At 35.2% G+C, this 26383-nt stretch overlaps 1 protein-coding gene across 18 annotated transcripts in view; it reads right to left on the bottom strand.

The window, feature by feature from the left end:
• GALNT13 (polypeptide N-acetylgalactosaminyltransferase 13) overlaps window positions 1-26383 on the bottom strand; it is a 1388282-nt gene that overhangs the window by 506261 nt on the left and 855638 nt on the right. For 16 of the 18 annotated variants that reach the window (XR_007069045.1, NM_001422882.1, NM_001422883.1 and 13 more), the window contains one exon: window positions 5675-5920. Coding sequence is in view for 16 of the 18 variants with exons in the window: in NM_001422882.1 (NP_001409811.1) it covers window positions 5675-5816 (142 nt within the window). In the remaining 2 variants the exon portion in view is untranslated. Of the gene's footprint in view, window positions 1-5674; window positions 5921-9821; window positions 10032-23974; window positions 24027-26383 lie in introns of all 18 variants that reach the window. The other 2 variants (NM_001376394.1, XM_047443116.1) reach the window with 2 other exon arrangements.

The raw sequence follows: 26383 nt of genomic DNA, 5'->3' as shown, positions 1-26383 counted from the left end.
CACTTCAGTTCTGTTGCCCATTTTTTTCTATTGGGTTATTTGGGCTTTTTTATTAATTATAGAAAAAATTTTATATATACTTGATATATATAACAATCAAGTTACTTATACGTACTTAATAATTGGTCAGTTGCGTTTGCTTTATATATATTCTACGATTTTTAACTTCTCTTTTTATCTTCTTTAAGGTACATTTGAATGAACTAACTTTCTCAAGTTTAACATAGTCAAATTTATCAATTTTTTTGCAGTAATTTTTTTATGTTTTAAGAATTTTTTTATTCCAAGGTCTTATAGATGTCTAAATATTTTTCTGCTAAAGTTTAAATTTTGTTTTTGACATTTAAGTCCTAAATCCAAACTTCATGACATGAGTTAGGCATCCAATTTCATCTCTTTCCACATGGATTGCCACTTTATTCTCGGTTCCATTTATTGAACAGCCTCTCTTTTCCCCACTGATCTGCAGTGCCTCTCCTGTCATATAAAGAATGTTCCAAACATATGTACACATGTGGTTCGCCATCAGAGGGCTAATTCTCTTCCTTTGGACAATTTGTCTCCCCCTGTGCTTCTCTGTTCCAATTATATAGCCTTAATTACACTAAATTTTAAGAGCTGTTACTTGCCACATCCCCACTCTGTATTTTTCTCCTTTACAAGTATCCTGGGCTTTCTGGAATCTTTATCATTCTATTAGAATTTTAGTATTTTTTTGCTTTTTACTAGTTATTTCCTACTCTTATGCTGTAAACCTCAATTTTAATGTTACAGCCTTTGTGAAGGTTTTTTTTTTTCTTTTTTGAGATGAAGTCTCACTATATTGCCCAGCCTGGACTCAAACTCCTGAACTCAAGCAATCCTCCCACCTCAGTTTTCTGAGTACCTGGGATTACAGGCACACACCACCATGCCTGGCTTGAGAAATTTTATCTAATACTCTAGATCCAGTGTCCTCTTCTTCCTGATCCTAATATCAATTATGTTTTATAATCATTTCTAACTTACTTTTCCTTTTCAGTTGAATATATATTCAGTCATTCGTTGCATAAGGATGGGGAAGTGTTCTGAGAAGTGCATCACTAGGCGATGTCATCATTGTGCAAACATCATAGAATGTACTTACACAAGACTAAATAGTATAGCCTACTGCACACTTAGGCTGTATGGTATAGCCTATTGCTCCTAGGCTACAAACTTGTATAACATGTTACTATGCTCAATACTATAGGAAATTATAACACAATTGTATTTGTGTATCTAAACAGATCCAAACATAGAAAAGGTACAGTAAAATGTTATAATTTGTTTAACTTTTATTTTAAGTTCAGGGGCACATGTGCAGGTTTGTTCCATCAGTAAACATGTGTCACTTGGGTTTGTTGTACACACTTATTCATCACCGAGGTATTAGGCCTAGTACTCATTAATTATTTTTCCTGATCTTCTCTCTTCTCCTGCCCTCCACCTTAGAGTGTTTTGTTCCTGTCTACGTGTCCATGTGTCCTCACTGTTTAGCTCCCACTTATAAGTGAGAACATGAGCTATTTGGTTTTCTGTTCCTGCATTAGTTTGCTAAGGCTAACTGCCTCCAGCTCCATCCACGTCCCTGCAAAGGACATGATCTCATTCTTTTTTATGGCGCATAGTATTCCATAGTGTATATGTACCATATTTTCTTTATCCAGCCTATGATTGATGGGCATTTAGGTTGACTCCATGTCTTTGCTAATGTGAATAGTGTTGCAATGAACATATGCATGGATGTCTCTTTATAATAGAACAATTTATGTTCCTTAGGGTATATACAATAATGGGATTGCTGGGTTGAATAGTATTTCTGTCTTTAGGTCTCTGATGAATCAATCACCACATTGTCTTCCACAATAGTTGAACTAATTTACACTCCCACCAACAGGAAAGAAGTGTTCCTTTTTCTCCACAACCTTGCCAGCATATGTTATTTTTTGACTTTTTAGTAATAGCCATTCTGATTGGCGTGAGATGGAATCTCATTGCGGCTTTGATTTGCAATTAGCTAATAATCAGTCATGTTGAGCTTTTTTTTTTTTAGTCCCATTAAATTGCCATTAACATTCTTCACAGAAATAGAAAAGACTATTTTAAAACTCATATGAAACCAAAAAAAGCCCAAAAGTCAAAGCAATCCTAAGCAAAAAGAACAAAGCTAGAGGCATCATTCTACTTGACACCAAACTATACTACAGGGCTACAGTAACCAAAACAGCATGGCACTGGTACAAAAACAGACATATAGACCAATGGAACAGAATACAGAACCCAGAAATAAGTTCACACACCTACAACTATCTGATCTTTGACAAACCTGACCAAAATAAGCAATGGGGAAAGGATTCCCTATTCAATAAATGGTGCTAGGAGAACTGGCTAGGCATATGCAGAAAATTGAAACTGGACCCCTTCCTTATACTATATGGAAAATTAACTCAAGATGGATTAAAGACTTGAATGTAAAACCCAAAACTATAATAACCCTGGAAGACAACCTAGGCAATACCATCCAGGACATGGGCACAGAAAAAGATTTCATGATGAAGACACCAAAAGCAATTTCAACAAAAGCAAAAATTGACAAATGGGATCTAATTAAACAAAAAAGCTTCTGCACAGCAAAAGAAACTAACAACAGAGTAAACAGACAACCTACAGAATGGGAGAAAATTTTTGCAATCTATGCATCTGACAAAGGTCTAATATCCTGCATCTATAAGGGACTTAAAACAAATTTACAAGAAAAAAAAACCACCAAAAAGTGGGCAAAAGACATGAACAGACACTCCTCAAAAGAAGGCATATGTGCAGCCAACAATCATATGAAAAAAAAAAAACTCAACATCAGTGATCATTACTTTAAAATATTATGGGATCACCATCATATATGCAGTCAGTTGTTGAGCAAAAAATCATTATATGGCACATGATTACACGCACACACACACACAGTCACATAAATACATACAGAAAGACAAAAATGTTTACTATATATTTGACTTTAAGCTCCATGGCAGGTGGGAGCCTTGTTCCCTTATGTCCCAAACATCAGGGACCTCAGTTATATCCCCAGGATTTGCATAGAGTAAGAACTTAATAAATAATGAATGAGTGAATGAATGAAAATATGTCAAAAATTCATTAACAGTGTATGTTAATATTGGGTCCTTAGGAATTGTTTAAAATTTAGACATATAAGGGAACTTAGAAACTGCCTACTCCAAAACCTTTGCTTTAATAATGGAGATGCACAGGTCCAGAAGGATCTTTTTTTAAGTAAAAAAGCCTGTTTTTAGCAGACCTAAAATGTGAAAATTTCAGTTAGGTACACTTTGCACAGCATCATCTGCTTACAAATAAAATATTTTGAAAACAAGGTGCAAACTCCTAAAGTAAAAATTCTGAAATAACAAGTGACAACTGAAAATGAAATTAAAACCCTCAAGTCTATTTTCCATTTATTCCAGACAAATAGTATTAATATAAAACTTTAAAGTAGTACAATGTACTGAATGTTTGTGTCTCTGCAAAATTCATATACTGAAATCCTAACCTTCAAAGTGATATTAGGAGATAGGGCCTTTGGGGGGTGATTAAGTCATGAAGGTGGAACCTTCATGAATGCAATTAGTGCCCTTATAAAATATGCCCCAGAGAGATTTCTCAACTATTCTGCCTAGTGAGGTTAGTGAGAAGACAGCTGTTTACAAGGAACAGCCCCTTATCAGACGTTGCATCTGCTAGCACCTTCATCTTGGAATCCCCAGCCTCCAAAATTGTAAGAAATAAATGTCTGTTCCTTGTTAGCCACCAAGTCTATATTTTTTTAACAACCTGAATGAAGTAAAATAACAAGTCTTATCAACAAAGAGAACAATAGTTTAATTTTACAATTTAAGTACAAGGAAAAGTTATTTTTGCCTTGCATTGTTAAATTTCACATTTTGAGATTTAAGACTTAAGGAGCATTAAGGACATAAATCAGCAAAACTGTACCTTTGTGTTACTGGCAGAAAAGGCTATCAAAGTTTTGCTGAATCAGATTATTACATTTTTTGTATGTGACCAACCTAGATGGTTTCCTTCAACAAATGACAGAGTGATCATTCCAAACTGATGTAATCCATCAAAAACACTTTTCTACATTCAGCCAAGCAGCAACTCAACTGATTCTGACAAAGAAGCTCAGAAGGCTGATTAATTCTGGGGTTTTAACTAAAGATCAGCAAATCATTCCCCATGTTCATTTGTCAAAAACATGGACTTATAATGTTCCCCTCTCAGAATAACTGAAGTATAAAGGCATAAAAAATGCATGTAAACTACCTAAATGGGTCTAGCATCAGTCACTTGCAAATTTTTTTAAATTATTTGTATTAGTCAAAATCTAAAATGCAAGTTCCATTTTAAAAGACAAGGAAGCGATTCAGAAGATTCAGAATTTCTCTAAATGAACAAGAGTATTTCTGTAATCTAAAGCAAACTCAACATGTCTAAAGTAATCTTTGATTTGCAATCTAAAGCAAACTCAACATGTCTAAAGTACTCTTTGAACAAAAATTAAATTTTGGAAATGCTCTTCTGTTTCCCTAAATTTCATGTAACCTGATAGTGTTAATGAGATTCTGTTTATTAAATATTTTGTTCAATAAATATCTCAAAAATATGTATAACATTAAAAGCAGATCATATTCATTAAATAAATGTAAATCTCAACTTGATAATTTAGATTCACTTTTCCAAAAGGTACAAACATGTCATGATACTTCAATTGAAGCTTGCTTTTTGTCATATTTATGCAGAAAACTTTTGCCAAACAGAGAATATGTTAGTTCAATGAGAATAAAACTAATTTTGAGTACTCTTACATATTTTAGAAGTATTGAATTTTCTAGGAATACATTAGAAATATATTTATAGATCTTGAAGTTAACAAAAAAGAAAGCATAGAGAAAACTGGAATAACTTCACAGAAAACAAATCTCTATGGCTTTACTTGATAAATAACCATTCATACAAATTATTATGTTTACATTCATATTTAGTCTTTGAAACTGGTCCCTCAAGAGGAAAATACTGAAATAAAGTAATTTTACAGTATACTTGAAATTATCTTTTTCACTTAACATACAGCCAGCAATCTGGTAAATCTGCATACCGCCATGTGTTTTGTTTTAAAAATTGGTTGTTTTATTTCAACTGTTTTGGAAGTCTTTAGCGGTGTCATTCATGCACAGTTCGTTTGCTAAAATCGCCACCTGTCTCACTTTAGTGGTTTTTCCGTTTTATGTTATGTGCTTGGTCTTTAAAGGCTTTTGGCTTCTAGCAGCCTAGATTTAAAATTCTGCCCAGTTTGAACGTTCACTCAACTGTTCTTTTCATACAGTCACAGAACACCAGAATTTATTAGGTTGAACGGTATCTTAGAGGTTAGCTAACTCTTCTTATTTCTTCCAAGAAGACGCCTAAGACCAAGAAAGGTAAAGTAACTTCCCCATGGTTAAACATGCATTAATAGTGCTGCCAAAATGCTCTTCTAACTCACTAAGGCAAAACTCTTCTGATTCTGAAGTTTCTCATTTTGTCAAGGCACCACTTTTCTCATCTCTATAAAGACAGTATTTGCTTCATAAGCACTTACCCCTCAATGCAGGCAGCAGAGATCTCTCCTTCTTGTCATCACATTTGTTACATTCACTGAAGTACAGCAGTAAGAAGACATCAACAAGAACCCACATCAGCGAAGTGGCTAGAACCACCTTGCAGTAGACAAATCTCCTCATGTCTTTCCTTGATTTCTAGTTAACACACAGATTGAAGACAAATGCTACTGTGATAAATCCAAGCCACACAGGTGAACTCCAAGATGAAAGCAGGATACATTCCACTGCATTAAAACAAAGAAGAAAATTTCATTAATTGTACACATAGATTTTTGGATAAAGAACATATAACATGAAATGTATGACTTATTTAATGTTCTCAAATATATCAGTACTCAAGCCTTCGAATCCAAAATTAAAAGCCTAAATAAATGAAAGTTGCTAGCAAGCTAGTTGGCTAACATTTTAATACCTAATACTAGATCTGCCACTACTCTGCCAGGCCCTTGACAAACTACTTGATTCCTTTAAGTTGTATTGTAATGAACTTAAAGTCATATCATGATATTCTTTATAGCTCCAGGTTGTCAAATAGTGCAATTCTGACTTTACTCTAATTCAGTACTTCTGACTAGCCAATAATTCTGAAATAGAAATCATCCTGGGATACAATATATTATAGTGGCTAAAATCTGGCCTTCATAGACAGACACGTCTGGGTCTGTACACCTCCTAAGAATAGAAGACTTTCTAAGCCACAGTTTTCTCATCTGTATAATGTGGATAGAAATGCCAAAGCTAAACCTCATTTGTTATGAGGATTATGTAGAATCATATTTATAAAGCATCTTGCAGAACAGATAATTAATAAAACATAAAACAGAGCTGGGCACGGCGGCTCACGCCTGTAATCCCAACACTTTGAGAGATCGAGGCAGGCGGATCACCTGAGGTCAGGAGTTTGAGACCAGTCTGGCCAACATGGTAAAACCACGTCTCTACTAAAAATACAAAAATTAGCCAGGCATGGTGGCACGTGCCTGTAATCCCAGCTACTCAGGAGGCTGAGGCAGGAGAATCACTTGAACCTGGTAGGTGGAGGTTGCAGTAAGCTGAGATCACACAATTGCACTCCAGTCTGGGTGACAAGAGCAAAACTCTGTCTCAAAAAAAAAAAATACATACATACGTAAAAATAAAATAAAATAAATACATAAAACAGAAAAAATTGTTCTCATATTCTTAAGTAGAGCAATTGCAAGACACGATCAATAATTACACAGCCTCTAAAATCCCAGCTGATCTGCAGAGAAAGTATCTACAATAAATGTGTGTTTAGAATAGATAGCACGCATCCAATTTATCAGGGGAAAAATATATTAACATAAATGATTTAAAATAATCAGAGCAAGAATTTAAAGGCTATAACAAAGATATGTACATAATTATTAAGAGACATTTTTCAAGGTAAGTGTAGAATGAATACCTTACACTTATTTGTTTTATTTATACTACATTGAGCATTTTATTTATACTACTACATTTGTTTAACTACCTGGTTAACCAACTTTTATCTATAAAGTAAGTAAATCAGACAAAACATATTCTGATATCATTTGTTACATTTTAAATAATATCGAGTAAAATGTAAGCTTATTGATGTGAATAAGATAAGTGATGAAGTTTTGACAGAGCTAATTGGGGTGAACAGTATTAAATACAAAGACACTTGAAATATTTCATAAACGTTTGTCTCAAAAACATCAAAGTATAATTTGATGAGCACAAGCTCTTTAAATTAACAGCAGCTGACAGCACCATAAAGCAACAGAAATTCTGTTGCCTGTTATAACCAACCTAAACTAGCAACAAATTCAAAATTCACATAAAGCGCCAGTTACAAAATAATTATTGTAACAGATTTTATTTTAGTAATTACAAAAAAATTACATTTACATTTATTCAGAATGTGTATATATATATATAATGGAGAGATATATGTAAATCCAAAGAATACATGACATTTGGGGTTTTTTTTCTTAGAAAAAAGTAACATGTTATTATCTACTTTGTTTCATTTCCACTTTAATTTTCTATAAAAATGATAGCTAAATATTGGAAATCAGCCTCTAAACCTGATAATAAAGGAATGATTATCCCATATTTATTTCCTGTTACCGTGTACATTCTTTTCTAAATTTGAGATATGAAACAATTCAAGCTATCAAATGTTCTGTCTTCAGTCTTAAGATAGGGTAGATCCTTTCACTTTATTGTAGAAAATAATTCCATGGAGAAGTACCTATAACATTGACGGTCACTACACGGCCATTCCCAAGTTTATAAGGAGTGCCATATACATAAATGATCCTGGAAGATGTAAACAGCACCATCCCTGGCTCTGTCATCAAATAAAGGGATGACCTTAGGTAGGTATCTTGCTTCTCAGTGCTTCATTTGTTTATAACATATTTCCTGCCCCATCAATCTCACAAAATATTGTGAGGCTTAATCAAGATAAAGAATTTAAAAAATCGTTCAAGAAAAGATGAAGAATATTATTATAATAGAAAATCTGAAATCACTCAGTATTAATTAAATATTGAAATGTCTAAGATAAGTCATTTCCTAATAAAAGCCTAACAGTTGAGGTTATTGAGAATTTAACTTAAACTTTATTTATGATAAAAAGTCAAAATTACATATTATTGCCACTTCAAGCAGTATTCAAATTATCCTAATTTCATAGCCTGCTAGTGCTATATATTAAGACATTAGCACTGAAAGAATTCTAACTATATCATGTGAAAAACTAAGTTGCTGTTTAAACTTCTTATGTAATTATGAAACAGACTCTGCTTGTATTTTTTAATTTGGAAATTTACCTATATTTTGAAAACACCTACACCTTGAAAACAGGCTAAACTTTATCATTCACAGAAATCTAATCCCCTGGCACTTATAAAATAATAATCTTATATATTGTATTTCAATATTCCTCTTAAAAGAAGAAAACTGAGCAGAAAAATGGTACTTTAAACACAGAATACTAACCAACGTAAGCACAGTTGGTGGCCCAGGTTTATTTAAGAGAATCAGCATCTGTATTATGTTTCTATTCCAGGAAACCCCTACTTATTTGCAAATACTGTTCTGTTTCTCAGTCAGAAAATCCAAGTTCTTCAATATCCCTGGCTTGCCAAACCAGTGTAGTGCATGAGCAACTTGCATGAACTACAGACTTTTCTATCCAATACTATTACCCTTTTCCTAATTGTTTCAAAAACATTAAGTAATGGTATCAGCAAGATTGTCTATGTTATAGGATTTTTACTTGAAAATGTGTACCATATTTCCTATCTTTATTAAAAATTGATTTTAAGGCTAGGCACAGTGGCTCATGCCTGTAATCCCAGAACTCTGGGAGGCTGAGGCGGGCGGATCATCTGAGGTCAGAAGTTCAAGACCAGCCTGGCCAACATACTGAAACCTTGTAACTACTAAAAATACAAAAATTAGCCAGGCAAGGTGGCGTGTGCCTGTAATGGAACGGAGATAGTGCCACTGTACTCCAGCATGGGCAACAAGAGAGAAACTCCATCTCAAAAAAAATTTTGATGTTAAATATAAGAAATAAAATCTAGATAAAGTTTAGGGTTTTGTAACTATGTTGTTAAATTAAGAAGAAAAAAGCTTTTGTTTTTGCTTTGGTTTTTTATTTGTTGTTCTTTTTTAATTAGGAAGTTATTACTTAGGGAATCTATTTTACTTGCTATTAGACATATTTTTATCTATAGTCATAAACTTTCTTTTGTAGAAAATTGTGTAATGGGAGCAAATGTTTTCAGTCTATTTTCTGAGGCTATCCTTGAGGCTGCCAAGGGATCCTGGAAACTAGTGTAAGGCTGCTGGTAATGCTTCCAGAAGTTTCAGGCACTCAGCATACTTTAAATGTTTTAAATAGTTAGGCAGGAGCTTCTGTGAACTAATGACCAAATAATTTTGCAGTTTGGTTTATGGGCTGATAAACGTAGTGAGTAAGCCCTGAAAAAATACCATAAATTAGCTTCAGGTCTAACTGATAGGAAAACAGATCTTTGTATGAATAAAGATAAGAAATTGGCCGGGCACGGTGGCTCACACCTGTAATCCCAGCAATTTGGGAGGCTGAGGCAGGTAGATCACCTGAAGTAAGGAGTTCGAAACCAGCCTGGTCAACATGGCAAAACCCGGTCTCTATTAAAAATGTAAAATTAGCTGGGCGTGGTGGCGGACTCCTGTAATCCCAACTACTCAGGAGGCAGAGGCAGGAAAATCACTTGAACCTGGGGGGCGGAGGTTGCAGTGAGCTGAGATTGTACCATTGCACCCCAGCCTGGGCAACAGAGCAAGACTCTGTCAAAAAAAAAAAAAAAAAGACAAAAACTTAAGTTAAACCCAGGAAATCCACTCACAGCCTAAACCAAAGTGTCCACTGTAATAACCACATCACACTAAAGGTTAAACTAAGAGACAAAGAAGCCAACAAATATAATGCTAAATAAATGCCTTTTACTGAAAGATGGTAGAAGAGAAGCAATAAACAAAACTGAAAAAAACAACAACAAAAAATGCCCTCATTTGCATATACACTAAGGAAAGGGAGAATATTGATGATACGCTAAAATTCAATTCTCAGGAGGGAACCTAACATAGCCTGTAAAAGAAAACGTTTCAGAGTTACATTGTCATGATTTGAGTCTGGGTTTCAACACTCACTAATTGTGCAACTTGATTCAAGTTCCTTAAATGTTTAATGCCTTGGTTTTCCTACTCACAAAATGCGAATAGTAGTTACCTTGTAAGGCTAGGATGAGTACAGGGATGTAACACGTAACCTCTTATAACAGTGCCTGGCACATAAGAACTCAATATAGATTAGTTATTATTACTAGTAGTAACACATATTGTTATCATCAGAAACATCATTCTAAGAGCAAGAAAAAACAATGAGGATTCTCCCTACCCACCCTTGCAGAAACATTGCATGCTCAGTGTATAGGTGTTCAGGGGATTGGATAACAAAAGTACCACAAAGCAGAACTATTTTAGATGTAGTTTCTAATGTGGTATGAGTCACACAAGGTTTTACAATAGTGAAAACTCATTGAACTATGCACTTAAGATCAGTGCATTTCACTCAATGTAAATTGTACCTCCCTTTTAAAGGTAAATAGGTATCATATGATTCCCTGATATCATCAACTTTTGATTAAATAAATTGTAGTCACAAGTTCACCAGATAAGAGAGCTTCTACTTCATGCCTTTCTGATCTCATTTCCTACCATGTTCACATCAGTGACTTAGGTCTCCTGGCTGTTCCTTAAATATACGAATTACTAGCTTGCCTCAGGGCATGTGCGATTGTGCTTTCTCTGCCCAGTCATAGGTTCATGGCTCCCTGCTCTTGTTTCCTTCAGATCTTCCTTCCTTCCTGCTCAAATGTCACATCACCACGAGCTTTCCTATCAGCCTATATAAAACAGCACACACACCTTACTCACTGTCTTCTCACCCCACTTAATTTTCCTTCTTAGCAATTATCACCCCCAATTTATTGAAAAATTGTGGGGTTTTTTTTGTTTCTTATTTGTCCCCCTTTCTTAAATGGTAAGCTATATGAGAACAGGATTACGCTTCTCTTACATACGCCCTCTCTCACTCCAATATATTTAAATTTTAAAACTCCAGCATTTGTTGTTATGGGCTGAATTGCCCTTGCCTGCCACATTCCAAAAATCCATGGGTGCAAGTCCTAACCCCTAGTATCTTAGAATGGAACCATATTTGGAAATAGGGGATTTAAAAAGGTAATTAGACAAAATGAAGTGTGATGGGTGGACCCTAATCTAATATGACTGGTACCCTTCAAGGAGATTAGGACACAGGAAAACCATGTGAAGACACAGAGAGAAGGCGTCCATTTACCAACCACAAAAAGAGGACTCAGAATAAAATCAACACTGCTGACATCTTGATTTTGGACTTCTAGCCTCCAGAAATGTGAGAGAAAATATATTTCTGTTGTTTAAGGCACCCAGTCTGTGGTATTCATTAGGGCAGCCCCAGCAAACTAAAACACTGGCTAGTTAAATTCACTTTCCTATACTCCACTTCTACATGCAAACAGGTGAACATGGCTGTCATGAAACTCCCAAATTATTCCACCACTTCTCATTTTAAATCTATGAGCCCACACTGCAGTGGAGTCCAAATCAATCTCCATCTTTCAGACAACAATTTTGCAGCTTATTTGACTTCCTCATACTGTCATCTCCACACTTTCTTTTTCTCATGGCTGATCACTATGCATCTACATTTAACAGAGAACATATAAACAATCAGAAGAGAATTTTGCATACTGCCATGTTAAATGTATTGCTTGCTTGTTTCCATTACTACCATACCAAATTCTACAAGTCCAACTGTTACCCTGGTGAACTGTCCCTTTAAAGAATGCAATACCCTCTACCCTCACATATTCAAGGATTTGACTAATGCACTTTTCTCTTCTGCATTAGTTTATCTTCTCTAACAAGTCATTATTACCAATATGCAAAGATGTTATATTAATAATAATCTTTGAATAAAGTAATTTCACCATACACCTCTCTTCAGGTATCCCTACATCCATCTACTCACCCTTAATGTAAAACTTTTGACAATAATTACATATGTCTATACATCCCTATCTTCCCATTCTCTCTTAAACTTCACAGGCTTTAGGTCCTGCCACTACGTGGAAACCTCATGTGATAAGGTCACGGTCAAATCCAATGATCAATTCTTAATCATCATCTTACATAAATACTCAGCAGCATTTGGTATAGGTTGGCCATAAACCGTGTACTCCTTTCTAGCAACTTGTTTCTTTCACATTCCATATTTGATTGTGCAGCAAATTCTGTGCCACTTTTCACCAATTCCACCACTACAACTATAGACCAAGCAGCCACCAGGATTTTGAAATGCTGCCTTAGATTGTTTTAAAAAAGTTTTATTGAGATATAATTCATATATCTGATAATTCACTCATTTAAAGTATACAATGCAATATAGTCACACATTGTGTGTCTATCACCACAATCAATTTTAGGGCATTTCCTTTCCTCAAAAAGTAAACCACTCCCCTTTGCTAGAACCCTCAATCCTACCATCATCCATAGACATAAGTAACTACTAATCTGATTTATTGGCTATGAATTTTCCTATTTTGAATGTTTCATACAAATTGAATCATACAATATGTTGCCTTCATGACTGTCTTCTCTCATTTAGCACAATGTTTTCAATGTTCATTCACATTGTAGCATATACAAGTACTTCATTTCTTTTTATTGCCAAATAATATTCCATTGTATAGCTATACACATTTTATTTATCCATTCATCACTTGATGCACATTTGTGTTGTTTCTACCTTTTGACTATTATGAAAAATTTAAGCTGTTAACATTTAGGTACAAATTTTCTGTAGACATATGTTTTCATTGTTCGTGGGTATATACCTAGGTGTAGAATTGCTTGATCATATGCTATGTCTTAGCATCTTAAATGCACCCCCATTATAATCTAGTCTTCTCACAAAAGGCAGGTGGTTCCTGTTAAAATTTAAATTTAATGGCCAGGCACGGTTGCTCACGCCTGTAATCCCAGCACTTTGGGAGGCCAAGGTGGGCGGAACACAAGGTCAGGAGATTGAGACCATCCTGGCTAACACAGTGAAACCCCGTCTCTACAAATACAAAAAACTAGCCGGGCATGGTGGCACACGCCTGTAGTCCCAGCTACTCAGGAGGCTGAGGCAGGAGAATCACTTGAACCCGGGAGGTGGAGATGGCAGTGAGCCAAGATCATGCCACTGCACTCCAGCCTGGGTGACAGAGTGAGACTGTCTCAAAAAAAAAAAAAATTAAATTTAATTAGATATCTTCCCTGTTCTGCTCATTATTGATCAACAGCTTCTATCACATTTAAAATAAATTGTAAATCCTATCCTTGGCCTGAAACACAAGTATGGTTCATCGCTAAGAAGGGATGGCGGGAATAAGAATATTTATGGCTCTCTGTGATAAAGGTGCCTACATCACCATCCTACCTGGTTTCAGGCTACAGGGCTGCTGTTTCAGGCCAATCAGTCACCTCCAGCCATACCACTGTGGCCCATGAAACTAAACTGGGTCATATTTGCTGGTTTCCAGACCATCTACAGTCTGGCAATGTTGTGCCATTTGTTGCAAAGGCCACCTAATAATAAAATGATAGTCAAGGTATTAGATTTTCCAAACTCAAAGCTCAAGTCCATTATATAAAATGGCATAGTATTTGTATATAACCTATGCACATATTCCTGTAGTCCTTAAGTCATTTCTAGATTATTCATAACACCTAATACAATGTGAGTGTTATGCAAATAGTTGTTAATGCTAAATTGTTTTTATCTGTGATTTTATTGTTGTATTTCTATTTTTATTGTGTTCTTTCACAAATATTTTCAATCCAAGGTTACTTGAATCTGCGAATGCAGAAACTGCAGACACAGACAGCTAACTCTACTGCTAACTGAATCCCTCTACAATGGCCTATGTGGGCAAACATGGGAGGTATAATGAGTCTCTGTATATTTTGTAAAAATGTCTCTGTTCCACTTGCATTTAATACTTTCATATCAAAGCTCTGGGTTAGATTAATAGAGGACTGGAGAGAAGTAAAGCAAAGTTATACTGAAATAGGGCACACAAAATTTCATGGCTGTGGAGAAAGCAATAACTGACATCTGGGGAAGAAATGGCTTGTACACCAAGAGTTGTGGGGAAGAGGATGGGTTAATTAATGCTCTGTTTGTCACCTAGATCCAGAATCAGAGCCTGGCAAAATAATCATATGGCCTGCCTGAGTGAAGTAGCATCTGTGGCTGACAATCCAGCCTGCTGTTCCATTTGTCATCTCTTCCAAGTGCTATGAAACAGAAAAACTCATGTGGGCATGGCCAGTCCTGAACTGCTCTGCTGTGCCTGATGCCATAAATGGCTGCTCCCAAAAAGATACCCTTCCTCCCACCTAAACAAACACAGGAACTTGCATAACATTGTTTCTATCTGGCTGATAGAAATTCACTTGCTTCTCCTGATATCTGAGCACTTTGGCTTATGCCATGTAAACAATCCAGGCTACAACTCTTCAGTGACATGACACATGCTTAATCAGACCAATGTAATGATGATCCAAATAAAGTTAAATAAAAAATCCTGATTGGACAGATTTATGTCCCTTTGGGCTATATGTTTGTATATGGGCTGAGTGAGCCATGGACTATCTCTCCATGGAAATTCAGATTCTATTAAATCATCTATTGCAATGATAACCAAAGATAAGCAGTTCTATGTAAACTCCCTTGTGTCAGTTGTGCTGGATAATACACTGTTCTTAGACTACCACAGTTTGGCTTTATAGAATAAAACCTATTGATATCCTCTTAGACTTATTTACAGTGACTGAGTCCCGGACCACAGGGAAACATGAGTAAAGTCAAAACTCCAAGTTGGCCTAATCCTGTTGTTAGAAGTTCTGCTCATAATAGCCTTATATAAATGCTGTATGAGAAAAACTAAATACATCTGACCCCAGCCACTGTCATATTATTTAGGGTGTTCAATGGAGTGCCATAATCACATGAAATTTCACCAGAAGCCAACATGATCAAAGATCAAAAGTGGATATCATTGAGAGACACTCCTCCACTCTCATAAACTCCTAATACTTCTTGCTGGGGATGCCAAGAATGCAAGGCCCCAAACAGCCAGGCCACTTTTCATAACTGTGTTTGCAGTAAGGAATATTGAAAAATGTTTATTATAAAATAGTAGCTTATCTAAGGTTATTGGTCTTTTTCTGTAATGCAACCCACCATGTAAGTAGGAATCCACTGGGGCTATCCACATACCCTCAATAGGACACAGGAAGCAAGTGGAACACACACAAACATATATTGTACTTTTATAGTCATAGCATCTTCATAGAATGGATATCCGTATATGCAAGCATGTGTTAAAAGACCAATATGTGACAAACTGCATTGACACGTGACATTTGATGGTTCATGTACTTCCTGTGCCATGAGTAAAAAATGTCCTTTGCTCTAATACAGAAGTCCATTCTGCCCAAATCCATGACATAATAACAAGCTAACTTTTAGCTTTTATGTGAGGTAAAATCAAATTCCAGAACCTTCACAGACCTGAGATCATCACACACACAAAAAAGCAGGAAATATGTATGTGTGTCTGTCTGTGTAAATTTTCACATTCCCAGAAAATTTACAGATACACTCACTAAACTTGGTAATCTCCGAACAACAGAATTTACAGTCTTCTGCAAGCTTGAATTTTTGCTACAATCATGTATTACTTTAAGAATAAAATTACCACCTTAATTATAAAGCTAAAATATTCCTTTCATTTATCCAACAGATATAATTTAGTGCCCACATAAATGCCAACACTGTGCTAAGGCATTAAAGATACATTCAGAAAAATCCTCTGAGATACTGTAAAAGATGACCATCCCCAAGACATGCAGTCATCAGATTCTCCAAGGTCAACATGAAAGAAAAATGTTAAAGGCCCCTAGAGAGGAGAGGCAGGTGACCTACAAATGGAACCCCATCTGGTTAATAATGGACTTTTCAGTAGAAACCTTATAAGCCAAAAGAGACTGTGGGGCCTATATTCAGTATTCTTAAAGAAAAGAAAGTCCAACTAAGAATTTCCTATCCAGCCAAATGAAGCTTCGTAAGAGAAGGAGAAATAAAATCCTTTTCAGACAAGCTAATGGAATTTGTTATCACAGACCCACTTTACAAGAGGTCTTTAAGGGAGTGCTAAACATGAAAATGAAAGACCATTACTGGCCACCAAAAAAACAAACAAACAAACAAACTTAAATAAATAGCCCACTGACGCTATAAAACACCTACATGATCAAGTTTACATAACAAGCTACTCTAACAACATGATGACAGGATCAAATCTACACATATCAGTATTAACCTTAAACATAAAGAGGCTAAACATCCCCACTTAACAGGATAAACACCCCACTTAAAAGGCACAAAGTGAAGATTTGGATAAAGAAGAAAGACTCAAGCATATGCTGACTTCAGGAGAACCATCTCACATGCAATGATACCCATAGGCTCAAAGTAAAGGTATGGACAATAATCTACCAAGCAAATAGAAAGCCAAAAAAATATTGAGTTGCTATTCTAATTTCAGACAAAACAGACTTTAAAGCAACAAAGATCAAAAAAGACAAAAGAAGAATATTATATTTGCAACCAACACTGGGGCACAGAAATTCTCTTTTTAGGAACCTACAAAGAGACTTAGATAACCACACAATAGTAATGGGGGACTTCAACACCCAACCAACAGTATTAGACAGATCATTGAGGCAGAAAACTAACAAAGAAATTCAGGACCTGAACTCAACATTTGACCAAATGTACCTAACAGACATATACAGAACTCTTCATCCCTTAAAAACAGAAGATGTATAATTTTCATCTGTACATGGCAAATACTCTAAAATCAATCACATGTTCACCCATAAAGCAATTATAAACAAATTTTTAAAAAAGCTGAAATCATACCAACCATACTCTCAAAACACAGAGCAATAAAAATAGAAATCAAAACTAAGAAGATCTGTCGGGCCAGGCACAGTGGCTCATGCCTGTAATCCCAGCATTTTGGGAAGGCAACGCAGGAGGACCACCTGAGGTCAGGAGTTTGAGACCAGCCTGACCAATATAGTGAAACCCCATCTCTACTAAAAATACAAAAATTAGCCAGGCGTGGTGGCAGGCCCCTGTAATCCCAGCTACTGGGAAGGCTAAGGCAGGAGAATCGCTTGAACCCAGGAGGCGGAGGTTACAGCGAGCCAAGATTGCACCATTGCATTCGAGGCTGGGCAACAAGAGCGAGACTCCATCTCAAAAAAAAAAAAAAAAAAGAAAGACAGAAAAAAAGAAAAAAAAGAAAAAGAAGATCTGTCAAAAACATACAATTACATGGAAATTAACCTGCTCCTGAATGACTTTTGGGCAAACAATGAAATTAAGGTAGAAATCAAGAAATTCTTTGAAACTAAGAAAAACAAAGAAGTAACATGCCAGAATCTCTGGGACATAGCTAAAGCAGTATTAAGAAGAAAGTCTATAGCACACATGAAAAAGTTTAAAAGATCTCAAATTAACAACATAACATCACTCCTAAAGGAACGAGTAAAACAAGGGCAAATTGATCTCAAAGCAAGCAGAAGAAAAGAAATAACCAGAAACAGAGCTAAACTAAATTAAATTTAGATATGAAAAACCATAGAAGAGATCAATGAAGCCAAAAGTTGGTTCTTTGAAAAAATAAATAAGATTAATAAACCACTAGTTAGAATAATAAAAAGGGGGAGAAAATTAAACACAATCATAAGTGACAAAGGAGACATTATCACTGACTCCACAGAAATACAAAAAACCTCAGACTATTATAAACACCTCTATTAACACAGACTAGAAAACAGAAGAAATGGATAAATTCCCGGGTGAGTTCCAAAACTGAATAAGTAATAAAAAACCCACCAACCAAATAAAGCCCTGGATGAGAGGGATTAACAGCCAAATTCTACCAGACATATAAAGAACTGGTGCCAATCTTACTGAATCTCTTCCCAAAAATTGAGGAGGAAGAAATCCTCCCTCACTTATTCTGTGAGGCCAGTATCATTATCATACCAAAACCTAAAAACAAACACAAAGAAAAGAGAAAATATCAGGCCAATATCCCTGATGACCATAGATGTAAAAATCCTCATAGAGGTAAAAGCAACATACTAGCAAACTGAATCCAGCAGCACATTGAAAAGCTAATCCACCATGATCAAGTAGGCTTTATCCCTAGGATGCAAGGTTGGTTCAACATACGTGAATCAATAAATGTGCTTCAGCACATAAACAGAACTAAAAATAAAAACCACATGATCATCTTGATAGACACAGAAAAAGTTTTCAATAAAATTCAACATGGCATCATGTTAAAAACCTTCAACAAACTAGGCATGAAATGAGTATATCTTAAAATAAGAGCCACCTATGACAAAACCGCAGCCAATGACAAACACCATACTGAATAGGCAAAAGCTGGAAACGTTCTCCTTAAGATCTAGAAAAAGACAAGGAAGCCCACTCTCACTACTCCTATTCAGCAACATACTGGGAGTCATAGTGAGAGTAATCAAGCGAGAGAGAGAAATAAAAGCTATCCAAATAGAAAGAGAGTAAATAAAACTATCTCTGTTTGTGGACAATAGGATTTTATACTAGAAAACCCTACAGTCTCTGCTAAAAGGCTACTAGATCAGATGAACAATTTCAGCAAAGCTTCAGCATACAAAATCAATGTACAAAAATCAGTAGCATTTTTATGCACCAATAATGTCAGAGCTGAGATCTAAATCAAAGAGGCAATCCCATTCACAATAGACACACACACACACACACACACACACACACACACACACTTAGGAATACAGCAATACAGCTACCCAGGACAATGAAATATCTCTACATTGAGAATTACAAAACATTGCTGAAAGAAATCAGAGATAACATAGATGGTTAAACAGTCTATGCTCATGAGAAGGAAGAATCAATACTGATAAAATGGCTATACTGCCCAAAGCCATTTACAGATTCAATACCATTCCTATCAAACTACCAAGGACATTCATCACAGAATTAGAAAAAAACTATTCTAAAGTTCATATGGCACCAAATAAGAGCCCAGATAGCCAAAGCAATACTAAGCAAGAAAAACAAAGCCAGAGGAATCACACTACCTGACTTCAAACTATACCACAAGACTACAGTAACCAACACAGCATGGTACTTACTGGTACAAAAACAGACATAGACCAGTGGAACAGAAGAAAGAACCCAGGAATAAAGCCATACACTTACAGCCATCTGATCTTCAACAAAGTAAAAAAAACTAGCAATGAGGAACGGACTTCCTATTCAATAAATGATGCTGAGATAACTGGCTAGTCATAGGCAGAAAATTGAAATTCCTTTCACCATATGTAAAAGTCAACTCAAGATGGACTATAGACTTAAATGCAAAACCTAAAACCATAAAAACTCTAGGAGATAACCTAGGAAATACCACTCTGGACATAGGTCCCAGCAAAGATTTCATGATGAAGATGCCAAAAGCAATTGCAACAAAAACAAAAATTCCCAAGTGGGACTTAATTAAATTAAAGAGCCTCTGCCAAGCAGACAACAAACAGACAACCCTCACCTCAGAAAGGAAGAACGTATCTGCAAACTATGCATCCATCAGAGGTCTAATATTCAGAATCTATAAGGAACTTAAATAAACAAGCAAAAAACAAACCCCATTAAAAAGTGGACAAAAGACATGAACAGACACTTCTCAAAAGAAGGCATGCATGTGACCAACAAACATAAGGAAAAACGATAAACGTCACTAATAATTAGAGAAATGCAAATCAAAACCACAATGAGATACCACCTTACACCAGTCAGAATGGCTATTAACAATTCAAAAATAACAGAGGCTGGCAAAATTGTGGAGAAAAGGGAATGTTTATACACTGCTAATAAGACTGTAAATTAGTTCTGCCAATGGGGAAAACGTTTTGAAGATTTCTCAAGGAGCTTAAAACCGAACTACCATTTGACATAGCCATTTCATCAGTAGGTATATACCCAAAGGAATATAAATCATTTTATTATTAAGACATATATATGTGTATGTTCATTGCAGCACTACTCACAATAGCAATGACATGGAATCAACCTAGATGCCCATCACTGGTAGACTAAATAAAGAAAATGTGCTAAATACACACCATGGAATACTATACAGCCATAAAAAGAATGAAACCGTGTCTTTTGCAGCAACATGGATGGAGCTGGAGGCCATTGTCCTAAAAGAATTAACACAGGAACAGAAAAACCAAATACAGCATGTTGTCACTTATAAGTGTAAGCTAAACATTGAGTACACATAGACATAAAGAAGAAAAAACAGACACAATGGCCTACTTGAAGGTGGAGGGTATGAGGAAGTTAAGTACTGAAAAACTACCTTTTGTGTACTATTCTCATTACCTGGGTGACGAAATAATCTGCACACCAAACCTCCACAACATGTAATTTACCCATGTAACGAACCTCCACCTGCCCCCGTAAACCTAAAATAAATGTTGGAAAGAAAAATAAAATAAAATGCAGATTTCTGTACAGTAGGGCTGGGATAAGGCCGGGGATAGCACATGTCTAACAACCTGGGGTGATGCCAGTGCTGTGGCCCACTCGACCTCACATTGTCTGATAGGCAGGTACTGTGAGGTATTTTCAACTTTTCTCTTGAATTAAATAAAAAGAAATATGAGAAGAAAACAAAACAGACAACAAGACACAATTCCTGCCTTTTGTCTTAGGATCCAGGAGGGGAGATATACAAAAGCAGTGGATTAGGGATAAGAAAATGATGTATGAAACATATGGAGTAATTCCAATATGTAAAACTCCTAACAGATAGTTTTTATACATAACTACAAATGTTGAGAGAATGAAGTGACAAACAATACTTGGCCATAGAGTGAGTGAAATAAGGGTGGAGATAAATTTACAGAGAATGTTTAGAAAGCAGTAACATTTTATAAGGCAGATGTCCTGTGTCAAGGCAATTTGTTACCCATAGCTCTCTTCAGCCATGCTTGAATTTAGGGATATTCATTCTATGAAGATGCTATGGTTGTCAAAACCTAAAATATATGATATTGGGACTTTAAAAGGAATAGATTATTATTAAAATATAATGAAATTAAGAAGTCCTCATAAAGAAAGCTTTTAAAAAGGAATATATGGGCCTCAAAAACATAATGAAATTTAGTGATTTTAAAAATCCTATTCATCAACCTAAAAATTTATCATAGTTCATTTGATATAGCATTTAATGACTGCTCAGTGTTCATCTTATAACACGGCAAACCAATGATTCAAGCTTGTTCATTAATAGTCCTCAAGAGGGGAAGGGAGAAATTCAGAATGTTCAAGTAGATATAAAACTAGAGATTTAAAACAACACTAGAGCATTTAGACAGTTCCCAGTAGACATCTATCAGCTAGCTGGCCATCTTCTGCCATAAATCTCCTGATTAAAAAGAAAATAAATGTTTCCACTGAGACATCCAACCATTAGAAAATCTAAACTGCAGCTTCCTAGTTGGCCTTAAGGCTTCTGAATTCTTCATGACAAAATATGTAAGAAATATATTACAAGTGTTCTTTCTTTGAAATGTGTAGAATAATGTGGTTATTTCTTATCTAGGCTTCCATTTCAAAACAGGGGCATTTATTTGTAGAAAAATAATGAGGAATAATATATTATCTTGTAAAATTGTATCAGAGTCACTCTGACTAGTCTGGTTGACAATTAATGGGGGATAGAAAGTGAAATAAAGTCAAACAAAAGCACAGAACCCTAGACACAAAAGAACCCCCAGTAGCATAAAGGGGAGATGAAGAAGGGGCTTTTACAGGGTACTCTAGAGGTATACTAAACTTGCACAAATGTAAACAAAGTTTTATTTGTCTGCTCCCATATTTTAATGATTGATTTTTAACAACATCTTATCCATGGAATAAATGCACTCTTTTCTTAAACTAGTTAATAAAGTATTAATAGGTGAAATAGTCTTCTTCCACAGGGGAAAAAACAAAACAACTCATTAAAGCTTATATAAACATATTTAATAATTTGACTTGGAGCTTCGGTTTTTTTCCTGCAAACTTCCTGGTAAAGTTGTTAATCATAAGTTAAGTGCCTTAAAAGACAGGCAATTAGAGGAAAGAAGTAAATAATTACATAAAGAACTAAATATTCCAAATATTGAATACTCTCCAATTAATTAACAGTAAAGTAAAAGTTTCAAGTCCTCATGGACTTAAAATTCATATTCTTATTAGCAAAGAAAACTTGTCATATAATATTGCTAAAGATGATAATTTGTCAATCAATATAAAGCAACTAATATAATGGAGTGTATAATCCATTAATAGAAAACACAGATGTTAAAAAACAAGAAAATCTGCCATAAATATAGGAGAAAAGGAAAAATATAATGCGAGATATAACAGGTAAGCAGAGATTACCATTATGTGTACAAGCACATGAAAAGCCAACCTGTAAACAAAGCGACATTTCCCCTATCATTCTGCAAAACTTCTAATTAATTTAATTAATAATTGTGCATATTAAAGGACTATAAATCAAAATTAAATACTATTTGTAACAAAATTATATTTTAGCAAAGATGGGATAAACGGGTCCTTTCTTTCTTTGCAGATAGAAACATAAATTGGTAAAAACATTTTTGGAAAGAAATAGCGTTTATTAAAAATAAGATTTTTGACCCATTTTCTTAAAAATTATCATATACTTTGAACTAGTAATTTCTCCACTGAACACTGTTTTAAATACCCCATATTGAGAAAAGACTTTAAGTTAAGAGATATTATGACACTATTTTTAAAAATTGCAATGTCTACTTATGAATGCACTATGATTGCAACTGTTTTTTAACTTATTCATATACAAGCATTGGAAAAACGTGTAAATGTGGGAATTTTCATTGTGCTTCTCTAATGCGTTTTGTGATTTTATATAGTAACTAGAAATAGTATTTATTATCTGAATAATGAGGAAGATATATGTTTTATTTTAAAGTAATAAGAAAATCACCAATAATAGTGATACGGACTAAATTTCTGACTCATCTGATATTTGTGCCGATGTGTACGTGAGTACATGGCACGCATACAGTCATGAAAACCGTGCAAATATAGACCAACAGACCCAAAGGACTGTCAAGGGTTATTCACAAAACAGAATAAATGAGAAAGAAAAGGAAGACAGAATTCCCCATTAAAACGAAGCCTGATTTAAGTAATCTGTTTCCAAAATTCTAACTTTTACTAGTCTCTAGTATTACAGTCTCTGGAAAGATAAGAATTTGCCTCAAATGTGAAATTATTTTAAAACTCCACATTCTTTTGAAGAAAATGGCTAACTTTTCAAACCTGGACTCTTAACCAAAATTCAGGAACTATCTCTTTCTAGTTGTATATGTGGCTTTTGTTTAAACAAATACAACCTTAAATCCATCAGGACCATATTTAAAAGTGATTATTTAAAGTGGAAAAGACTACTCACTTTTAACTATTCCCACCATTGCAGCCTGTATTTCCCTCAAATCCAATTAAATCTTCAGAAAAGAAAAAAACACCAATAAATTGTATATTCATCTCATGTAAATAAATTTTAATATATTGAAAACATATACTTGGACCCTAGAACATTATTCTTTTTTATATTATTTAAATTAAAATCACATGCAACTTGAGGTATCTGAGATGCGTAGTGATTTCTGCTTTAGAAAAGCGTTGTCTCCTATTAATAGTGTACCACAATTTGAAAAAAATCATGATTGACAGGCAAGAGAAAGAAATAAAGGGTATTAGAATGGGAAGAGGGGAAGTCAAACTATCTTTGTTTGCAGGTAACATGATCCTAAATCTAGAAAACTCCATCATCTCAGCCCAAAAGCTTCTTAATCTGATAAGCAACTTCAGCAAAGTTTCAGGATACAAAATCAATGTGCAAAAATCGCTAGCATTCCTATACACCAACAACAGGCATACAACCAAATCACAAATGAACTTCCATTCACAACTGCCACAAAAAGAATAAAATACTTAGAAATACAACTGACAAGGGAAATAAAGGACCTCTTCAAGGGGAACTACAAAGCACTGCTAAAAGAAATCAGAGATGACACAAAACAAATGGAAAAACATTCCATGCTCACGGATAGGAAGAATCAATATCGTGAAAATGGTCATCCTGCCTAAAGCAATTTACAGATTCAATGCTATTTTCATTAAACTACCATTGACATTCCTCACAGAATCAGAAAAAAGAATTTTAAAATTCATATGGAACCAAAAAAGAGCTCAAATAGCCAAGACAATCCTAAGCAAAAAAAAAAAAAAAAGCTCGAGGCTTCATGCTACCTGATGCCAAACTATACTATACAGCTAAAGTAACCAAAACAGCATGGTACAGGTACAAGAACAGACACATAGACCAATGGAACAGAATGCAGAACCCAGAAATAAGACTGCGCACCTACAACTATCTGATCTTTGACAAACCTGAAAAAAACAAGCAATGGGGAAAGCATTCCCTATTTAATAAATAGTGCTGGGACAACTGGCTAGCCATATGCAGAAAATTGAAACTGGACCCCTTCCTTATACCATATACAAAAATCAACTCAAGATGGATTAAATATGTGAATACATACCCAAAACTATAAAACCCCTAGGAGAAAACATAGGCAATACCATTCAGGACATAGGCACAGGCCAAGATGTCATGACAAAGATGCCAAAGCAATTGCAACGAAAGCAAAAATTGACAAATGGAATCTAATTAAATTAAAGAGCTTCTGCACAGCAAAGAAATTATCAACAAAATAAACAGATAACCTACAGAATGGGACAAAATTTTTGTAATCTATCCATCTGACAAAGGCCTAATACCTAACATCTATAAGGAACTTAAGCAAATTTACAAGCCAAAAACAATGGCATCAAAAAGTGCACAAAGGACATGAGCAGACACTTTTCAAAAGAAAACATACATGTGGCCAACAAACATGAAAAAAAGCTCAACGTCACGGATCATTAGAGAAATGCAAATCAAAAACACAGTGAGATATCATCTCACACCAATAAGAATGGCTATTATTAAAAAGTAAAAAAACAACAGATGCTGACGAGGTCGTGGAGAAAAAGGGACGCTTATATACTGTTGGTGAGAGTATAAATTAGTTCAACCATTGTGGAAGGCAGTATGGCAATTCCTCAAAGACCTAGAGGCAGAAATGCCATTTGATCCAGCAATCTCATTACTGGGTATATACCCAAAGGAATATAAACTGTTCTTTTATAAAGATACATAAAGGCACATGTTCATTGCAGAACTATTCACAATAGCAACGACATGGAATCAATCTAAATGTCTATCAACAATAGACTGGATAAAGAAAATGTGGTATATATACACCATGGAATATTATGCAGCCATAAAAAGGAATGAGATCATGTCCTGTGCAGGAACATGGATGGAGCTGGAAGCCACTATCCTCAGCAAACTAATGCAGAACAGAAAACCAAATATCACATGTTCTCATTTATAAGTGGAAGCTGAAGGATGAGAACACATAGACACATGGGGGCAAACAAGATACACCAGGGACTATCTGAGGGTGGGGGTGGGAAGAGGGAGTGCATCAGGAAGAATAGCTAATGGATGCTCGGCTTAATACAAAGGTGATGGGATGATCTGTGCAGCAAACCACAATGGAACACATTTACCTATGTAACAATCCTGTACATCCTGCACATGTACCCCTGAATTTAAAAATAAAAGTTGGAAATTTTAAAAAATCATGATTGACATGCTGCTATAAAGACACATGCACATGTATGTTTATTGTGGCACTATTCACAATAGCAAAGACTTGGAACCAACCCAAATGTCCATCAATGATAGGCT

This window comes from Homo sapiens, chromosome 2, assembly GCF_000001405.40.
Source record: "Homo sapiens chromosome 2, GRCh38.p14 Primary Assembly".
Lineage (NCBI taxonomy): Eukaryota > Metazoa > Chordata > Mammalia > Primates > Hominidae > Homo > Homo sapiens.
Note: the sequence above shows the minus strand (reverse complement) of the source record. Positions and strands in the feature narration are given on the sequence as shown.